The sequence below is a fragment of the Homo sapiens genome, chromosome 9 (genome assembly GCF_000001405.40).
Source record: "Homo sapiens chromosome 9, GRCh38.p14 Primary Assembly".
In the NCBI taxonomy this organism is placed as follows: Eukaryota; Metazoa; Chordata; class Mammalia; order Primates; family Hominidae; genus Homo; species Homo sapiens.
The window spans coordinates 27,663,209-27,684,948 of record NC_000009.12 but is presented as its reverse complement, the minus strand read 5'-3'; the positions used below and the strand labels follow the sequence as shown (position 1 = coordinate 27,684,948).

Genomic DNA, 21,740 nt, shown 5'->3' with positions numbered 1-21,740 from the left:
AGATAGGGGAAGTTATGCTACAGTAATAAACAATACCCAAAAGATCAACAAAATTTTATTCCTCACTCATATAAAATCCACTACAATTCCAGAGAACTCTCCATGACCTCTGTCTTGATGTAAGAAGAAGCAGCAGGCTGGAAAGTCTAGCTCCAGTAATTAGATGCTTGGACATAGAAATGAGCCAAGTCACTTTCATTTACAATTTAGTGGCCAAAGCAATTCACAAGTTCATACCTATCTTCAAGGAGAAGTACAATGTCTCATATGCCCAGAGGAAGAGCAAGGCTTGAATGTTAGTGTGCTATATCAATATCTTCTATAGCACTGTTTCCTCTATACTTACACTTATCTGAGGGTCTAATAGTCTCTTTGCCTATCACTTGGCTCATTACTTATTGACCCAAAAAGGGGCTTATCCCTAAAACCAGTGTCTATTTCTCTTTATGTTTCCAAATTTTTTCCCTCTCTTCAGCTGGGAGCATCTTTATCTAGTGAGGGAAGAACAGAGAAGACAGATTATGGAAAGATTAATAGAAACTTTTAATTTTAAAGGTCAGGAATTTGACATTCATTTCTCTGTCCTCTTGTCAAGCTCCATTGTGCTATGTACTCCATCCCAAATCTCCTGATGTGGAATATCATCCTCACATGTCTTCTTACATAATGGGCCAGGGTTATGCGATGAAAAGTCAGTAGAAGTAGGTGAGTATCAATACTTCACATTTTTTTCCACCATCAATAATGTATTTCTCTTTTGTATACCACAAGTGGGTCAACTGGGACTGGATAGAGAAATCAAACATGTGTAATTTATCAATAGACAGACCGGAAAACATATCTGGAAAATGTGTACTTAAGTGTTGTGGTAATTGGTGAAGAGGCCAGCGATGATGCTACCATTTTTCTGGCATTTGCTGAAAATAAAAGGAAGGGAAATGGAAGTAAAAAAGATATTCAATTTTAGGCTAAGAAGCTCAGTATAAAACTTTAAAAAGTGGTGCCTTCTGAATAGCATAGCACTTATATGAGCACCTGTCTCAGCAAATCACAATGCCACGGTCATTTCTCCTTAATCATTGAAGGTGATTCAAGAGATGGGTTGCCCACCAGAGAGACGTTTCATGCTGAAGAATCTGATTTTAAAATATATTTAATAGCATTTTAGTTTTTATTTCTCTGGACCTCTGTGAATTACGACACTTCTGTTTTGCCCATTATAGTACTTTTCAGGATCTTAATCTCTGAGACTACTGTTCTTAAAGCCAGGAACTCAGAGAGTTATGACATCTAGTTTATCTATTGCTACAATTAAAATATGTAACAAACAACCCTACAGTTTCAGAGCCATACAACGATAAATTATTACGCTTACATATTGGGGACCAGCTGGGCGTCAGCAAGGTGGCTCTGCTGATGTTGACAGCGATTGCTTACATATCTGGGGTCTGCTGGGTGTGGCTAATCTACATTGATCTCGACTAGGGTGACAGGATACTCTGCTTTGGTCCATGTGTCACTATTCCTCCTGGGACCAGCAGTCTAGCCTGGGCATGTTCACACTGGCATTAACAAAGGCATGAGAGTGATAGAGCAGGCCCTGTCACAAACAGTTTTCAAGGCTCTGCTTCTATCACATCCGTTAATATCCTAGAGGCCAAAGCAAGTTACGGAGCTTAAAGCCAGAGTCAAGGCAAAGAGTGGATGCAAGGAGAGGCGAGAATCAAGGCTAAGACATGCTATTTACCACATCTAGGATTCTGTCCACCAAGAGGGCCTGGGCAGGGCTGGAGTACAGACTGGCTTAGGCACTAGCAAAATGCTAGCTGAAGCTTCAAATAGGGACAAGCTCCTGACTGCTCAGTGAGGGAGACTGAGAAGATTAAATGGAACATGGCACTGAAATGAGCCAGAATAGGAATTCAAGAACCTTTAATTACAGAAATTAAAAGAAATATTAAGAATGATTGCGAACGACCAGAGTATAGAATTATTATCTCTACTTCCCCCAAACACACAGTACCTTCTATTTTACAGAGTACTGTGAGACTGAGAAAGTGTTTACATATTCGTCTCCCTCATTCCTGATGACAGTCCCTGTGTTGTGGTATGGTAGGCATCACTACCCCATTTTAAATGTGGGAATATTGAGAGCTTTAGAAGTACAGTGAGGTGCCCACAGCAACAAAACTAGTAAGTGATCCAACTGAGACTCAAACCCAAGCCTAGTTTTTTTTTTCCACTGTGTAATAAAAAACTTAAAAAAAATGGAAACAGTAACACTTAAAACATCTTCCCTATAATTCTCCGGCATAAAGGCCAAGGTGCCAGGTGTCATTGAACTTAGAAAGGGATAAGCAAATTGGTGGTTGCTATGGAGTCACCTTAGCACTTCAGTGTTTTTGAAGTTGGGGTTGACACTGAAGGCTATTAAAGTTAAAGGGAAACATGAGCCAATACTTATGTATGTTTCTAAGTAATGACAAAAATATGACATGATTCTCATGGAACTGGAAAAAGTAGTTCAAAATGCTACTAGATAAAGGGAGAGATTTAATGGAGGAATCAGAATAAATCAGTAGATAGAGCCTTTGATGAGAAATAATCATTTTGAAACAATTATGTAAAATAAAAACTATAAATCATGAATATAGAATAAAATACCATTTGTTGTTACCAAAGAGAAAAGTCAGAAATGATGAAATGTAGGTAGGAGACCTAAAAGATTTTTAAAAATGCAAATACATAGATTATTACTGATCACAGAGGCAATAAGAGATTAGTATAAAGTTGCAGAAAACTCTAAAGCTGTTTGATAATTAGTTTTTCCTCAGAAATTGGAAATGTGTATTATTGAAGAGGTCCTTAATGTCACTAGATGTAGCCCATACTGCAAATCTGTTGGAAAATAAACAGGAAGAAAGACTTGTACCTGTGCTACACTTAATATCAGAGTTATTTGCCTTTGAAATAACTTGAAGACTAGGAATAAATAAATTGGGGTAGGTCTCATTTCTGTGATCTGATACTAGACATGGGCCTGGTTTCTCAGAAAGCACTCACTAGGTGCGGTGGCTCACACTTGTAATCCCAGCATTTTGGGAGGCCGAGGTGGAAGGATTGCTTGAGCACAGGAGTTCATGATCAGCCTGGGCAACATGGTGAAACCCCATCTCTACAAAAAGTACAAAAAATTAGCCAGACACGGTAGTGCATGCCTGTAGTTCCAGCTATTCTGGAGCTTAGGTGGGAAAATCATTTGAGCCCAAGAGATGGAGCTTCCAGTGAGCTGTGATTGCACCACTGCACTCCAGCACCTGTGTGACAGAGCGCGACCTTGTCTCAAAATAATAAAAATAAAGCACTCACTGGGGGTAGCACAAAGGGTAATTCAGGAGATGAGATGTGCTTCAAAAGAGTTACAAGGAGAAAAAAATTAACTAAAAGACCTTGATGGAAGAAAGGACCTATGGAACTCTAACGTGTTTAATAAAGAATGCCAAAACATAGCAAGATCTCATCTCTACAAAAAAAAAAAAAAATTTTTTTTTAACCACATCTAGGATGTGGTATGGCGGTACATGCCTATAGTCCCAGCTACTTGGGAGGCTGAGGTGGGAGGATTATTTGAGCCCAGGAGTTTGAGGCAGCTGTGAGATATGATTGCAGCACTGCACTCTAGCCTGGATGACAGAACGAGATCCTGTCTCAAAAAAAAAAAGAATGCTGACATCAAATTCCATCCTGTGAGACAGAGCATCATATAAAGGGCACAACGAGTAGACTCTCAGAAATCTGGACCCAGAGACTCAGAAAGGCTGCCACTGGTTAAAAACAGCAGATTATTTAGTTGTTAATATGTGGAGGATTGCCTCTGTCTACTCCCAGAGAAACCCCAAGCAACCTGAGGAGAAAAACAAATGCAAAGGAGACACAGGCTCTGCAAACCATTTTCAACAGCCATTACCCTCCCCTGGGTCAGCCCTCACATTGAGCAATGATTTAGATACAAATCAAGAGAGAATGCCGATCAAATTATTTGAGGAAATAGCAAATATGTTAAATAACAGAGGTGCGATAAAAAGAAATGGCCTTGAAAGAGAAGAAACTGGTAAGATTAAATTCAATAGAGCTAAGTGTATTACTATGCCAAATGTAGGTTCAGAAAACCAGTTATGCAACTTGAGGGAAGAAATTTAAGAGCAATGTATAGGAAAATGAACTCCTTGTTTGAACTGGCTACAAGCTCAATGTCAGTCTACCTTTAATACAGTGATTCTTAACCTCTTTGGGAAAACATTCCTTTGGGAACATGATAAAAATTGAGTACATTCACCTTAGAAACACATATTTTTATACAGCATTTTGCACTTAGTTTCAGAAAGCTCATGGAAGTCTCATGAGGCATCCATTTATAGTGTGATGGTTTAAAATATGAGACCTGTGCTAAACAAATCTACAGTCAGTCAAGGACCCCGTCATGTCTCTGCCACTCAGAATTTCTTATTATGGTTTTTAAAAAGTAAGATAACCTCTATCCACTCTGAGTTTCCTCATCTGTAAAGGGGAGATAATAAGATAATAATACTTGCCCTCTGGTGTTATTATAAAAGATTAATAAGATAAAGCACCAATAGCTTTTATTTTTGTCATAATTATCATTTTATTATATTTTAAAATATTAATATATTTTTATTATATGTATATTTCATCATATGTATTATATTACCAAAGTCAGTTGCTACCTTATGTTAACTTTTAAATAACTTTTAGGTTTGGCTTACAGGACAAAAGAAAGGGTTGCTCCCCTGGGCTGCCTGCCACTTAAAACAATATCTGGAGCTTTTAGCTCTGATCTTGGCATCTTGTTTTAAGAAACACAGGTGTCACCTAGAACACAAGTAAAGGAGGCCAGCCAAGATAGTAATGAGATACATAGGGTATTTACAAGAAGACAAGTGGAAGAATTGGGGATCTTTGACCTAGCAAAAGGAGGATTTAACTAAATTCAACTACTTCAAATGCTATTGTGCCAGAAGAAGAAAAATTATTCTGAATTATTTCAGTGGCCAGAATTTGGGCCAAAAGCGTAGGAAACTTCAGCTACATGTAAGGAAGGCTGTCTTAGAAATTAGATGCCAGCATTTCTTCATCACTGAGGGATCAACATATTCATTCATTCAACAAACATTAATTAAGCATCCACTGTGCACCAGAGACCATGCACGTTACTGGGGATACAAAGATGAGTGAGGCACAGATCTTGCTCCTTTAATAGACTCCAAGTTTGGTGGGAGACACAGGTAAAATAAGTAATGACAATGCAAACAGAGGCAATGGTATTGCCTGGAAAACAAGGCAGATATCTACTAAGAAAAGAGTTGAGCTATAATAGATTAAAAGAAACAATCTAGGAACTACGCTAGTCATGCTAGGCAGAAGACAAAAGGCACAAAGGCAAGAAACAGCATGATGTATTCAAGAAATTCTGGGCACAAAGGAAAAGGCAAAAAAAAAAAAAAAAAAAAAAAAAAACAAGGAGAGAGCTTAGATGTGATCCTATGAGCTCAATAAAGCCATTACAGGATTTTAGGCAGGGGAGTGACCTGGTCAAAACTGTGTTTAGGTATGGATGTATCATTACTAAATATCTGGACACAGATCTTATATTTGTGATATTTCTACATGTTCCCATGAGAGGTCGTTAAACTAGTTAAGTAAGGCACTTCATGAGAGTTCAACATTTTTTCAATGGGTTACTTAGACTTGTGTTATACAAGAATGTTTCAAATGCGCTGCTTGTTTTGGGTATTGAGCCAAGTTGACATCTAAAAGCAAAATAAGAGACAGAGGTAAGAATCCAGGCAAGAGACATAAAGGCCTGGATTAGGTCTGCAAAGCTGTAGAAGGATTGGGAGATGGCACTGATACTCTCCGGGATCTTTCCAAAGCTTGGACTCTATGCAGTTCAGCCCTGACACAATCACAGAGTTGTAGAATTGTAAGGGACACTGACACCATCTCATCCAAGTCTTCCATTACAGAGACTAAACCCCAGGAAGAAAAAGTAGCTTTCTCCCTTCTCCATAGAGCAAGGTAATAAAGAAGTTAAAACTCTGAAAAGCATCACCCTTCAACCTTGATCCAGTGAGTGACCTCTTATCCTGCCACATCACGCAGATTTTCATTAAATCTTTTTTGTAGCATATACACTTTGTTAATTAAGCCTACAAAAACAGGGTGCTAGGATATAAGCTGTTCGTCAACTGGAAAAAAGCAAAGAATTTAAATGTTGCCATGAATTACAGGTATCTTATGAAGCAGGAAGGGTCTCCTATTTAAACTTCTCAGCATAGCATACAAAGCAAAGGATGATTCAAAGCTGAGTCCTCCATTTGCCAACAAAGTGGCATTGAGGAAGTCACTTAACCTCTGAAGCTCATCTGTAAAATGAATAAATAATTCTCACCCTAAAAGTTGTAGATATATATAATGCCTTCACAATGTATAGAGCCCAGCGCACGTTAGGTAGGTCATTTATTTCTCTGTTCCTTCCTTCCTTTCCAAATTTTGCCTTCAAAATTTGTAAGGAGAAGTTATCTGCCATCTTCTCCAGCCCACTAGAGACAGTACAGCAAACGAGTTAGAATTTGGCCTCTTGTGTCAGAAAAACTAAATGGTGACTCTTGGCCCTACATGAACACAGACACATTCTTCAGTCTCTCATGACTGTTGATACATCTATGATAATCTGAAGACAACTATTGCAACCTCATAGGGTTGTTGTGAGGATTATATGAGCTAAATATATGAAAGCTTCTTAGAGTAATGCCTGACATAGAGTAAACACTCAAGTTATGGCTTGATTATGTTGACTTTGCATGCAGAGAACCACGTTACATTGTAATCTCCCTTATCTTCTCATCCTCATAGCTAATGATCTTCTCTTTCATACACAACTTCATATTTTCAAGAAAATTACATTTTCTTCATGCATGTCTCTTCAGACATGGAAGAAGCTAAAAAACCTCTTTTCTCAAAAGTAGTTAAGGTAAATGAGATCAATGGATCCAACTGACTGCCAGAAATGGAGTAGTGGAGCCCTTAATATCATCAATTCAAGATATTGGACACCCATCCATTGATTTTCTCCCTGTCTCTATTAGAAGTCAATAGCTCCTCATCACACATTCGACAGGTGAGGATTCCTAGAAGTGCTGTAAGTGGACTGAGGTAGTTTGGTGTGCCTGTGTCCAGAGCATTAGGTGAGAATTAGAATTGACCTCTGTTTATACCATCCTCTATCCCACACACCTTATAGGGACTCGAAAAACATCCACTGATCCATGAACCTTTCCTCACTGAGTGCCTTGGTAATTAGGACATGATTAACTCTAGGGGCTACCTTGCATTGCATTTGAGAACACAGGACTAAAGTGGATGGCAAAAAAATAATGAGTAGGAGATTGGGCTCCATGGTGAGACCATTTGAATCCTGGCTTCATCATATTTGTAGCTTTAGGCATGTCACTGACTTTCTCCAAATCCCAATTTTCTCTTCTATAAAATTAGGAGCATAACAGGTATACTAAACTAGCAGAGTTCTCATGAGATTAAGTGAAAGAATTTTTGTAAAGAGTTTAGCACCAAGCAAATGTTCAGTAAGTGCTCTTACTGTGATTAGTTCAATATAAAAATGACTAACTGCTGTATCATGTTATATTGCTTCAAAATGCAAAAATAAGAATTTACAGAGTGCGAGATTACTGTGGCACTAACGAGAGTATACACATATTAACTAGGGAGATGTTTCTTAAACAAGATAGGTTCTGACCTAGATCTTAGAGAATAAATAGGTTTAGATCTGCAAAGGGCTCTCCCCATGGGCAAAAGAGCCAGGAGGATAAAATCCCTGAGTATGCAGAAAAATAAGTGAACAGTCAGAATTTTGAATAAGTACCCAAAGGCTAGAAAAGGAACATTTCAAAATCCACTATGGAAGTGCCAGGCAATTTCAGAAAAGATGAGCTATCTAGTGATAATAACTGGCTGATCAAAACCATAGTGTGGTAGGTAAGCAAAGGTTTTAGCAGCAGACAGGCCTAAGTATAAATCACAGACAAACTACCTAACATTTCTAAGCCTCACTAGTCCCGTGTCTGGAATTGGTTCCTTGCAGTGGGTTCTTGGTCTCGCTGACTTCAAGAATGAAGCCGCGGACCCTCCTGGTGAGTGTTACAGTTCTTAAAGATGGTGTGTCCGGAGTTTGTTCCTTCAGATGTTCAGATGTGTCCAGAGTTTCTTCCTTCCAGTGGGTTCGTGGTCTCGCTTGACCTCAGGAGTGAAGCCACAGACCTTTGCAGTGAGTGTTACAGCTCTCAAAGGTGGCGCCTCTGGAGTTGTTTGTTTCTCCCAGTGGGTTCGTGGTCTCGCTGACTTAAGCAGTGAAGCCGCAGACCTTCACAGTGAGTGTTACAGAGCTCATAAAGGTAGTGCAGACCCAAAGAGTGAGCAGCAGCAAGATTTATCGTGGAGAGTGAAAGAACAAAGTTTCCACAGCGTGGAAGGGGACCCTCGTGGGTTCCGCTGCTAGCTCGGGTGGCCAGTTTTTATTCCCTTATTGGGCCACACCCATATCCTGCTGATTGGTCCATTTTACAGAGAGCCGATTGCTCCATTTTACAGAGTGCTGATTGGTGCATTTACAAACTTTTAGCTAGACACAGAGTGCCGATTGGTGCGTTTTTACAGAGTGCGAACTGGTGCATTTACAAACCTTTAGCTAGACCCAGAGCGCTGACTGGTGTGTTTACAATCCTCTAGCTAGACAGAAAAGTTCTCCAAGTCCCCACTCAACCCAGAAGCCCAGCCGGCTTCACCTCTCAGTCCCATCTTTGTTATGAAATTATTTTCACCTACCTTGCAAAATTTTGGGGAGAATTAAATGAGCTGTTGAAGGTAAAACAGTCATCTCAGGGTCTGACTCAGTGTCAGCTAGCGTGATTGCCTAGTGATATTCTAAGAAAAACAAATACTAAAAAAAGTTATTTAAATTTACCTGGACAAACACCAAAGTGGGGTTGCCTAACTGAGGCAGGAGAATAAGGTCTGGAGGTAGGGCACTTAAGACCAATTCATGCTGAATCAAAGAAAAACACCTTGATTTCCTAGGCGCAGGGAATCTGAGGCCAATTTGTGCTGACTTCCTAAAATAGAAAACACCAAGGTCTGGGATTGGGGAATCTGAGGCCAATTCCTGCTGACTTCCCAAAGCTGGATCAAAAGGAAAACACCTGGGTCTAGGGGCAGGGAACCTAAGGCCAATTAACGCAAACTTCCTAAAGCTAAACCCAGAGGAAAAACCCCATCGCCCCAGGCCAAGTAACAAAGGATCAAAGGCTACTCTCCCTATAGCCCTCCCCATTCCACCACATCTCAGATGGAAAGGGAGATTGCCTCGGATTGACCGTAGGCCTAGCAAGGACCATCCCTTCGTGTGCATAGAGCGCCAATTCACCTCAGCCTTATAATTAGCCAAAGACCAAATCCTTCATTTCAGATAACAGGTAACCAATAGAGTCCTCAAAAAAAGTACTTAAAACCCAGAAAACCTTGTAACCGGGCCCTTTAGCCTCTTGCTCCGGCCCACTTCCACCCCGTGGAGTGCTTTCTTGCTTTAATAAAGTCCTGCTTTTGCTGCTCCCTTCCTGTGTTTTGTTCCTTTGTTACTTTGTGCGTTTTGTCCGGTTCTTTGTTCAAAACGCCAAGGACCTGGACATTTACACTCAAGGCCCTCCTTCCGGTAATATAACTGTAGAAGAATCAGGGGAAGTTTTATCCTCATTCAGTGTCCTAAATGTTCTTACTGGTTTCTGTAGGTATCTTATACATAGTAAAATTTCAGTGTTCAATAAATACAAGGCACTGTCATCATGAATAGACAGAGCTAATTGTTACTCCACTTAATCCTCACACAACCCTGGAACAAAGATAATTTTATTTGTCCTGTCTTACACATTTACAGAGCTTAGTCACTTATGCAAGCTCACACAGAAAATAGGGAGTAGAACTAGAATTTGAGCCAAAGCAGCCTGTCTCCAAAGACTGCGTGCTTTGTGTGCCTCTGTAGACTGCCAGGAGATAACTCTGAAACCTTCAGACATGTTCCTGCTGATCTGAACCTGCTATGACAGTGTGAGCCCACCACCTGAATTCAAGAAGGACAAAAAAAAAAAAAAAAAAAAATAGCCCAACAGGGAAAAGGAGACATGATTAGGTAGCTGGCTGGATAGAAAGTAGGCTGACAGAATCACCTGCAATTTTCCTTTCAATCTTTCTCTGTAATTTAATTCTTATTTGAATTCATCGTGAACAGCCCTTACACTTAAGGGTGCTGCAGATCTTGCCTCTGCTTCAGGGCAAAGTGCTTGTTGGAGCTATTGCCCTGTAATGACCGAGAGACAGAATGCCTCCAAAAAACAAAATTCTTAAGTAGGTCTGGTTGTGCCAAGTGACATTAATTACACAATCCATACTAGCACTATCAACTGCAAACTTACCTGGAAGAAGGGCTTGCCCCCTTAGATACTACTTAGAAACTATTTGCTCCTCCTGTCAGTGCCAGAAGTAACTGAAAATCGAATTTGAGAACATTATGGAAAATCCAGAGAGGATTCAGTAAAGGAGGGGGGAAGTTAAACCATTGGTTCTCAATTTTGTTTTCTTTTAAACTTTCCCCATACATTCTCCTCAGGTGTCCCATAACAAATCCAACCTTCTTGTCCCTAACTTTGCCAAAGGAGGGCAGGGAGAGAGAGTGCATGAGAGAGATGAAAGAAGAAGAGGTATAGAGGAGGAAGAATATAGAGGAAAAAAGGAAAGAAAGAGTATCAGGGAGGTAGATATCTACAGATTTGGGGTCTTCGAGAGGTTAAAAAAAAAACAGATGTAGCTAGAAAGAGGGATCAAGAGAGCAAGAGATAGACAAAGTTCTCAGGATTTCATCAGAGGAACATCCTTGTACTCACAAGGCTCAAGAGCATGAGTAGATTTCAAGTGCGTTGAACTGGAACTGATTAGAAATAAAGAAGCTGGAATGTAGAGAGGAAATCGCCCAAGCTGTTAGTTGCTAAATATTCACTTTTCTGGACTTCCCCAGGAATAATTGGGCATTCCATTCTCTGGGCTCCCATGCTGTTTGTGATGGTGTTAGTAAGGTGAAGATAGGCTTCTGGCATAGTTTACATCACAGTGAAGTGTGTATTTATTTAGATGCTGGACTGAGAAGCTTTGAAGCAGACACTGTATTCAATTCATGTGTGCCTATATTAGTGTTTAACAAATGTCTGCTGGAAGAGAGGAAAGAAAAGTAGGTGTAAAGGAGGGGAAGGAAGAAGGAATAATGGGCAGAGAAGCATTCAGGAAACAATTCCTCCTTATCTCAATCGGCATGAGTCAAACAGTAATTTTGGTCTCATGTCAGCAATTTCATTCTTTCAAATCTAGTGTATATTTGCCCTGACAATTAGGAGAGATTGAAAAAAAATGAGGCAAAGTGATTCATAGTCTATCTTTTCATTAGAAAGTTCAAAAATGAGCAGCAGCCAATATTGTGAATAACTAGAACTCAAGGGCTGATATTATGAACTTAATAAGCCATTATCTCTAAAATAATTATTCTGAATGAGCTTTTAAAAATGGTTTTATGCCTTTTATGTCCCCATCTGTCCCATGCCAAAATACCCTCCACTCTTAACATTTTGTCTTTGAAATCTGAACTATAATGTTCAGAAAAATTACAGTGATTTTTCAACCTCCTAAAAAATAGAAAATGCAGTATTAATCGTAGTGATATCTTCTATGTTAGGCATGTTCTTTCTTTTTCAAACTAGTTTTTAAATCTTTCGTCTCCTTTAGTGATCACAATAAGGATCTGAGGTTGTTAGAGCGAGTACTCTCATCTCCAGCCTATTAATGTGCAAAGTGAGGAAAGGGAAGTAACAGCACACAGTAAGATAATGTCTGAGCAAAAGTGAAAACCTAGAGCTCTGACTCTGAGCTCAGCACTCACCCTGCAGCAATGCTTAGAGTAGAGTAATTCTAGAATGTTCTTTGAGTATGTCTTTTGAATCAAAAGGAGAAAATATTTCCCAATTTTTTACATATCAGTCATGTTCTTACATATGCTAATAGCCTTATTTTATAAGATAGTTTATTATTATTATTCTCACCCAGCTGTGGTTTACATGTTTCTTTTAGCAGCAAAATTTTATTATCAAAATCTCATGCCAGGCCAGGCGCGGTGACTCACGCCTGTAATCCCAGCCCTTTGGAAGTCTGAGGCAGGTGGATCACTTGAGGCCAGGAATTCAAGACCAGCCTGGCCTACAAGGTCAAACCCTGTCTCTACTAAAAATACAGAAATTAGCCAGGCATGGTGGCACACCTCTGTAATCCCAGCCACTTAGGTGGCTGAGGCAGGAGAATTGCTTGAACTCAGGAGACAGAGGTTGCAGCGAGCCGAGATTGCACCACTGTACTCCAGCCTGGGTAACAGAGTGAAATGCTGTCTAAAACATAAAAAAAAAAAAAAAAAAGATCATGCCAAACCTCTCTATATAAAACAGATAAAAGTGTATCTGTACTGGAATTGGAACAAAGCTGAGAGACCCAGAAGAGGTTTGCTGATAAGGGACTGTTGGCCTCAATCTCAATACCAAATACATAGAGATCACCAGAACACCACTGAACATAAGAGACTGTTGGCCTCAATCTTAACACCAAATACACAGAGATCACCAGGACACCACTGAACACAGAATGAAGACCTCGTCATAGAGCATGTCTGACTTCTGGTGAAGCGAGAATACTGAAGACTTCACAATCCAACTGATTCCAATTTCAAATCTACCACTTGCTCTCTGAGTGCATTGAAGAGGTTATCAACATTTCTGAGCCTCAGTTCCCTCATCTGTAGAAATTGTAGTAACACCTGCCAGATGAGTTTGTTCTGAAGATTAACTCAGATGCCCCAAGTGAATCGTGAATCGCAGTGCTCAGCACGCAGTAGATACTCAGGCAATTTCCTTCTGGAAGACCCTTGCCAAACTTACATATGCTTTGCTGACAAACCAGATGTGTTCTTGTTGCCTCAGAGGGTATAAATCCCATTTGTTTTTTTAAGTCCAGCTCATGCCGTTAGCATTTGAGAGCTTGCACTACTCCCTCAAACATTTAACATTTTCTGTTCAGTTAGCACAGCATCGAGACTTCAAAAGCAGCTTGAAAATAAACTTGATTCCAAATATGATTTATAATGTCCCAAGAAACAGCTCATTTACCCAAGAAGGCTTCATCAATTATTGACAGATGTACCCTCTGAGGAGAAATAGCATTAATACTAGGAGACTGAGGGAAAAGCATGCCTCAACCCCATAAGCCAATTATCCAAGGTGATTTTGAGCATTAAATCCTTAGATATGCTTAATTTACTGTCCCTTGCCTATAAGCACAGGAAGAAGTATGAGAAGGGAAAAAAATGGTAACCAATTTAAGACTGCTTTTAAAAACAAAAAGAAGGCATAGCATCAAGGGGAAAATGTATTGGAGGGAATAAGTGGGTGTTGGACACATATGAGCTTATAGATTGAACATCCCTGGACTTCAAGCATTTTGCCCCCTCAGTGCAGAGCCAGCTACTACCCACCTGTTTTTTTTCAGTACAGAAATAATTGTGCTTACCTGTCTCTGGCCTAATAATTATAGCAGAGACTGATTTTATTCTCAGCATGTTTATTGTGGTCGGATTTTCTCAGTTTTCAGGGCAAAGGCCTTACTAAGGATGCTAGCATTATTTGCTTTAACATCAAGCTAGTGACAAGGCTATGCAACGTTTTGTAAAAAGCCAAGAGGCCAGTGTGAATCCAGCCCAGGGGGCTTGTAATCTGTGTTTGACATGCAAATATTAGAAAACCTTGGCAAGACTACAAGGTTTACATGCAAGGGAAGAAAGAAAATACATGAGGCCAATACATTTGAGAATGCTAATATATTTCTCTACAGTTTTCTCAAAAGGAGGAAAATAGGAGAGGGTTATTTTTCCTAAAATCCAAATTATAAGGCAAAAGGTGACCAATTATGACTACTTAGCTTTAATTTTCATGTACTGAGGAGTGTGTGTGTGAGTGTGTGCATGTGTGCATGCATGCCTACATACATTGCATGCATGTTTTGAATGAGTGTGCGTAGATGGAAATAAAATAAACTTGGGATAGTGAAGAGGTCTACCTATGTAAAAATTTTTGCATGATGAATTGAACATTTCTATATTCAGAAATAAACCCTGCCACACGAAACCTAAAAAATTACTACCCCGACTTAATGCAATCTATAAAGTACAGTTATAGAACATTCTAAAATTACCTGCTTATACCTCATGACCTGGCAGAATAATTATAGGCTAGATTCTTTCATCTTTTTTACACTCTTTTTATTGAGAATTAAGAGATTCACTGTATTGGGTTATTAAAAGCCTGACCTCTTATAGCATGCATTCTTATCCCATTATTAAGCTGTGTATATAAAATTCAGTAGGCCTTCACTTTTATAGCTTTAACTTCTAAATTTCAAATTCAAAATCAGCATTGAAGTGCCAGTTGGGTGCCAGGCACTATGCAAGTGCTTTTAAAGGTACTGCCACATTTGATCGACACCCAGATTCCTGGCCAGGAATATTCTGATTCCAATCTAGTAAGCATCCTACGACACCACAACCTTCTATCATTGCCTTGCCATCAAGTCTTGCAAGGATTTTAGACAGAGAATTGGAGGGGAGGAAATCAGCAAAGCCAGATCCATGTCTGGTACACCACTGGCTTTTTACTAGAAGTGTACGCCTTTATTCTTTGGAGACTCCAATTTCTCTTAACATAAAACTGAAGCAAGAATACAGAATTCTTGATCAACTCACAAAAACATTATCAAGCGTCTTAAGTACATTCACCCCTCTGAGGTTTCCTCGATGTTCAAGGTTTGAATAAACCATGTAACCTAAATAAACCATCAAATAAATGGTGTATCCTTGAACAACAGATAAGCTTTTTATTTTTAGATGGGGTCCCTCTGTGTTGCCTAAGCTTGTCTCAAACTCCTGGCTTCAAGCAATCCCCCACTGTCCGCCTTGCTGGGATTAAGGGCATGAGCCATGGCACCCAGCTGAGATGAGTTTTAACAACTAGTTATTTTAACAACGTTGCAATTGCTCAAAATCTTGTGTTGGGGAGAGGAGCAGTCCAGGGCACAGGGAGTCCTCTTTGGAATTGCCATCATCCCGAGAATGCATTCTTAACATCCTCAAATGTTCATTCTTTAAGGGATGGAAAATTTTTATCCTTTGGAAGCACATTTGAAACATCCAGAAGTTATTCAGAGCCAAGGGTGATAAAGTGAGGGATCAAATGGAATATGACTTTCTATAAATATAAGAGGTGACTATAAAGTAAAGTAACTCATTATCTTGAATAACTTGTAAGCTAGCATTGAAGACAATCGCAAAAGAAAATTCCAGAATATTTTGGGTATCTGTACTCAAGATATTTTAGGTAACTGCACACACCAATTCACAAAGTTACTTCTTCACAATAGTTAGATAGCTAAAACAGAGAGGAAAATATAAGAATACATTTCTTCTGTTAAGTAGGTAAGAAAACTGATTGGAAAGGTAAGCCATTGGCCTGGGCCATGTGTGTGTTTGCATATGTGTGTGCATGCCACACACAAATGGGAACTGCCCTCGTTCGACCATCATTTTGAAAGTTCTGCTACTTACCTCGTCTAATTATCTGAGCACCTGAATCTTGAGCATAGCTGTCATACCTCCTTAGAGCATGTTTATATCTTCGCATTCTGGGAGGGATGTAATTTTCTTGACCTGAAAAAAAAAAAAAAAAAAAGGAGTGATGTCACAAGCTCTGCTTTTAATTACAACTATGTACTCTCCAAAAGAGTAAAGCATGATTACATATACAAGGATACCTTGTTTTATTGTGCTTTATTTACTGCACTTTGTGAATACTGCATTTTTAATAAGTTGATGTTTGTGGCAACTCTGCATCCAGAAATTCTATTCAGGGACATTTTTTCGACATCATGTGCTCACTTCATGTCTCTGTGTCACATTTTGTCAATTCTAGCAATATTTCAAACTATTTAATTATTATTATACCTATTACTGTGATCTGTGATCAGTGATCTTTGATGTTATTATTGTAACTGTTTTGGGACACCACAAACCCCACCCATATAAAAGGATACATTTAATCAATAAATATTGTGTTTGTTCTGACTGTTCCACCAACCAAACATTCCCTGACTCTCTCCCACTCCTCAGGCCTTCTTATTTCCTGAGAAACAACAATGTTGAAACTAGGTCAATTAGTAACCCTACAATGACTTTGTCTTCAAGTGAAAGTAAGAGTTGCATGTCTCTCACTTGAAATCAAAGGTTAGAAATGAGTAAGTTGATTTGGGAAGACATGTCAAAAGCCAAGATAGGCTGAAAGCTAGACCTCTTGTGCCAGTTAGCCAAGTTGTGAATACAAGGGAAAAGTTCTTGAAGGAAGTTAAAAATGCTACTCCAGTGAACACACAAATGATTTTTTAAAAAATGCAAAACAGTCTTATTTCTGATATGGAGAAAGTTTGAGTGGTCTGGATAGAAGGTCAATCCAGCCACAACATTCCCTTAAGCCAAAGCTTAATCCAGAGCAACGCCCTAACTCTCTTCAATGCTATGAAGTCTGAGAGAGGTGAGGAAGCTGCAAAAGAAGAGTTTGAAGCTAGCAAAGGTTGGCTCATATGATTTAGGGAAAGAAGACATCTCTATAACAAAAAAAAATGAAGGTGAAGGAGCAGGTGCTGATGTAGAAGCTGCAGGAAGTTATCTAGAAGATCTAGCTAAGATAGCTGATGAAGGAAGCTACACTAAACAACAGATTTTCAGGATAGATGAAATTTCAGTATAGATGAAATAGCCTTACATTGGAAGAAGATACCATCTAGGACTTTCATAGCTAAAGAGGGGAAGTCGATGCTTGGCTTCAAAGCTTTAAGGGACAGGTTGACTCTCTTGTTAGGGCCTAATGCAGCTGGTAACTTTAGGTTAAAGCCAGTGTTCATTGATTATTCTGAAAATGCTAGGGCCCTTAAGAATTATGCTAAATCTTGAGCCAGGTGGTGTGGCACACCTATAATTGGGAGTCTGAGGTGAAAGGATTGCTTGAGCCCGAGAGTTTGAGTCCAGCCTGGCCATTACAGCAAGACCTCCATCTCAAAAAACAAACAAACATATTATGCTAACCTACCCTGCCTGTGTTCTGTAAGTGGAAGAACAAAGCTTAGATGACAGCACATCTGTTTAGAGCACAGTTTACTGACTATTTTAAGTCCATTGATTAGATCTGTTGATTAAAGGAAAGATTCTTTTCAGAATATTACTGCTCATTGACAATGCACGTGGTCAGCCAAGAGCTCTGATGGAGATGTACAAGAACATTAATGTTGTTTCCATGCCTAGTAGCACAATATTCATACTGCAGCCCATGAGTTCAGGAATAATTTTCACTTTCAATTCATATTATTTGAGAAACACATTTTGTAAGGCTATAGCTGCCATAGAGAGTGATTTCTCTGATGGATCTGGGCAAAGTAAATTGAAAACCTTCTGAAAAAGATTCACCATTCTAGATGCCATTAGGAACATTCATGATTTACTGGAGCCTGAAGATGTGACTGAATTGCTGCTGTAATTTCATGATAAAAACCTTAATTGATGAGGAGCTGCTTCTTATGAATGAGCAAAGAAAGTGGTTTCTTGAGATGGAATCTACTCCTTGTGAAGATGCTATGAACATTATTGAAATGACAACAATGTATTTGGACTATTGCACAAACTTAGTTGCTAAAGCAGTGGCAGGATTTGAAAGGATTCACTCCAACTTTGGAAGAAGATCTACTGTGGATAAATTGCTATCAAATAGCATCACATGGTACAAAGAAATATGTTATGAAAGGAAAGGTCAATAGATCAGCAAACTTCATTATTTTAAGAAATTGTCACAGCCATCCCAATTTTCAGAAATCATCACCCTGATCAGTCAACAGTCATCAGCAGCAAGGCGAGACCCTCCACCAGCAGAAGGATTACAACTCATTGAAGGCTCAAATGATTGTTTGCACTTTTTAGCAATAAAGTATTTTTAATTAAGGTATGTACTTTTTTGGCATAATGCTATTTCACACTTAATAGAGTATAGTACAGTATAAACATAACTTTTATATGCACTGGGAAATCAAAAAACGTGTGTGAGACTCACTTTATTGCAATATTCACTTTATTGCAGTGGTCTGGAATATAACCTCAGTATCTCCAAGGTATGCCTGTACAATAAACTATGCATTGAGTACAGTGTTTCTGATCCTGCCTTCCAAACATATGTAGTTCTTAGAAAATGGAATAAAGAAGATGAAGCACCTTCCAGTTTGTGTATGGGAATACCTTTTGCAAAGGTTTTCCTTGCCTCAAAAGCCAAAAATCATCATTATAATAATAACCATCCAGATAGTGTGATTTAATACAAAGGTATCATGAACTTAGAAAATTGTGAACTAATACTATACTCTAGTTATAGTATTAGTTGCTTCTCTTGGAGGTATGGGTTAGAAATTCTAAAACCAGTTTATGTTTATACTAAGGTTGAACAAAATAAGTAAATATATTGTAGGCAGTGAGGACAAAGTTTCTTGAGCTTGGGAAAGAAATTACAAGTAAGGAAACAGGAAAGAGAAATAGTACCCTAATAGCAACAAGCACACCTATTGCTCAAACCTTGGTGGTTGATTCCAAGGCTGGGGCAAGGAAAATACAAGATGAGTCTGGAATATCTTATAATTCTGGAAAATAAAGAAGTGCTCAACAAAAGATGGGGACATGCAGAAAGGGCACAGGAGCCTACCTGAAAGAGCTCACAATGGCCAAAAGTGAAGCAATTTGAGCAACAAAATCAATAATGATAGCATTGTGTCATAACCCATAGAATAAGGTAAATAAATATTCCTGAATCTATACTTTCATAAATAAATGATTGAGCAAATAAATAGAGGGGAGAAGACATAGTTCTTCCTTTAGATAAATTCCAATTAAGAAACATAGGAAAATGTTAGAAATATGAAATCACCTCTTAAAACACCACAAATTGTTTCAGGCAAGATCTGTGGCTAGCCCCTGTGTCCCAGAGCCCAAACTACCTGCATCCGTCAATGAAAGTGAAGCAGCTTCGCTTGTCTGGGGTAATACCTGAGGTTCATTGCCTCACACCAAGGAAATCAAGGACGCAGACACACAAAATGTGAGGTTAAGCTTGGAGGTTTAAGAGGCAAAAGAAAGAGAGAAATTCTCCTGTAGAGAGAGAGGGGCTTCCGGTCCATGGCGAAGTGCAGGAGTTTTTATAGATGAGCTTGAGGAGAAGGTATCTGATTTACATAGGGCATATTTACATAGAGAGATAGTTTGGATCAGGTGTGCTGTTTGCACAGCGTGCGAAGAATCTGGCTGCCCCACCCTACTCTTTTATTATGTAGATGGCTTCTCTACCTGGCTAGCACCATGTTGCATGCTTCTTTATTGCACACGTGGCAACAAAGAAAAGGGAAAATGGATTCTCCCTATTGAACATACCTCACTTCCAAGTGTCCCTTTTCTATTAGTGCAGCTGCCCGCATATACCTATGCAAGCTTTCAGCTTGCTTATCTATGTTTGCAGCTTGATTTTTCAGGCTGCTTTTTGTTAAAAAAGATGATTTAGGGGCTGCTTTTTATTAAAAGGAAATTCCACCGAGAACTCTCTTACCCTCACTATCTGCCTAAATAGCTTCTATATCAAAAGTCCTAGTGTTACCATCTTTATCACAATTATTTGAGTCAGCCTTGCTAGAAAACATGTTAAGAAATGACACCTCCCCTTGGCATGGAGGGTCTATTTCTTGCCGGACTGGTCACCCAGGCTGAGATTCTACACTCAGAAAATGAGTAACTTCTTATCAAGCTGCACATTCATTTTCGCAGAGAAAGAAAGTTGGCACCTATTTTTCCAGGTTCCATTATGCCTGTTCTGGTTATTATAATAATCGTGCTTCACATTTCTATAGTGTCTTCAGTTTATAAGTTTCATTCATATACTGTACCTGAGCTAACCCCCAAAACCACCCTTTGAGATTAGTTTATGAATCAGTCAACAAATACTAACTGAGAGCCTGACACATGTCAGGACCTCAGAGTGAAACAGTGAACAAGACCAATGTGATCTTTGCCCGCCTGGAGTTGATATTACGGGGGGAAGATAACCAGAAAAAGTAAACACATAAAATAAGTACAAGGTATAGAGTTATAAAGAAAAGGAAACAAGCATACCAGACCAGGAAATTTTTAAAAATCAAGCATAATGTGAGGAGACCTACTTTAGAGAGATGTGAATGGAAGCCTGTCTGAGGGGGTGGTGTTTGATGAGAAGCAGGCAGCCTTGCAAAGCTTGGGGTAGCACCTCCCATCAGAGCAATCAGCAAGTGCGAGGGCGGTGTGTGCGGGAGTGGGTGATGTCAGGGGAGAGTGAAAACAGCTTGGTACATTCTGGAAACTATCAGAAGGCATGTTCTTCTGGAGAATTGAGGAGGAGGGGGATGGGGGCCTGAAATAAGGGCACAGAGGAAAGCAGAAGTTGCTAGCAGCCTGTGGATGAAGGGTTTTACTCTAGTGCATTGGGAAGAGGTACTGTCGTCTTACAGGTGAATAAATTTAAAATCAGAGATGTTATATGATTTCTCAGATTTCTCAGAGTTCTTACATCTGGCAAGTTACATCTCTGTCCCAAGTCTTTCCATTCCCTCCTTCTTTCTACAAATATGTATGAAGCACAGGAGATCAAGACTAGCCTGGCCAACATGGTAAAACCCTGCCTCTACTAAAAATACAAAAAAAAATTAACTGGGCATGGTGGCGTGTGCTTGTAGTCCCAGCTACTAGGGAGGCTGAAGCAGGGGAATCACTTGAACTTGGGAGATGGAGGCTGCAGTGAGCCGAGATCGCATCACTGCACTCTGGCCTGGCAACAGAGTGAGACTCTGCCTCAAAAAAAAAAAAAAAAAAAAAAAAAAAAAAAGCCAAACACATTACGACTTGCTAGATAAGATACAACTTTAATCTCAACTAGGTTAAGTCTAGAGGTGAAGAATGATTGTGTGAACAAATGCAACAAAAAGTGATAAACATAGGGCTGGGCATGGTGGCTCACACCTGTAATCCCAGTGCTTTTGGAGACCTAAGCTGGAGGATTGCTTGAGACTAGGAGTTCGATCAAGACCAGCCTGGGCAACATAGTGAGACCCCATCTCTACAAAAAATTAAAAAATTAGTCAGGCATGGTGGCACATGCCTGTGGTCCCAGCTACTTAGAAGGTGGAGGCAGAAGGATTGCTTGACCCCAGGAGGCAGATAGAGGCTGCAGTGGACTATGATCATGCCACAGCATGCCAGCCTAGACAACAGAATGAGACCCTGTCTTTTAAAAAAAAATGACAAATGCTATATCCAAAAATTTATACAGAATATAGAGAAGACCTGGAGAAGGGAGAAGTCAGTTCTGTGTGGGTAAGACCAGTAGGGTCAGAGATTTAGCACTGAGCTCAATCTA

At 39.5% G+C, this 21,740-nt stretch overlaps 1 long non-coding RNA gene across 2 annotated transcripts, besides 2 other annotated features; it reads right to left on the bottom strand.

The window, feature by feature from the left end:
- Positions 559-1,758: an enhancer, noted in NCBI's record as "MED14-independent group 3 enhancer chr9:27683189-27684388 (GRCh37/hg19 assembly coordinates)". NCBI's record gives its function as "activates an origin of replication core promoter dependent on BRD2, BRD4, P300/CBP and CDK7 cofactors, and independent of MED14, by STARR-seq in HCT116 cells {active_cell/tissue: HCT116}" and the evidence as "EXISTENCE:reporter gene assay evidence [ECO:0000049][PMID:35650434]".
- LOC105376002 (uncharacterized) lies at positions 740-20,582 on the bottom strand. 2 transcript variants are annotated; one of them, XR_007061441.1, is made up of 3 exons: positions 20,512-20,582; positions 15,827-15,928; positions 740-785 (listed from the first exon to the last, which is right to left on the bottom strand). It is a non-coding gene; the product is annotated as an uncharacterized LOC105376002 (long non-coding RNA). The 2 variants fall into 2 exon arrangements; XR_001746640.2 differs by lacking the exon at positions 20,512-20,582 and adding an exon at positions 19,303-19,471.
- Positions 5,061-5,805: an enhancer, noted in NCBI's record as "OCT4-NANOG hESC enhancer chr9:27679142-27679886 (GRCh37/hg19 assembly coordinates)". NCBI's record gives its function as "activates a minimal SCP1, AML or CMV promoter by ChIP-STARR-seq in naive H9 embryonic stem cells {active_cell/tissue: H9 hESC(naive)}" and the evidence as "EXISTENCE:reporter gene assay evidence [ECO:0000049][PMID:30033119]".
- Positions 20,583-21,740: the final 1,158 nt, after the last annotated feature.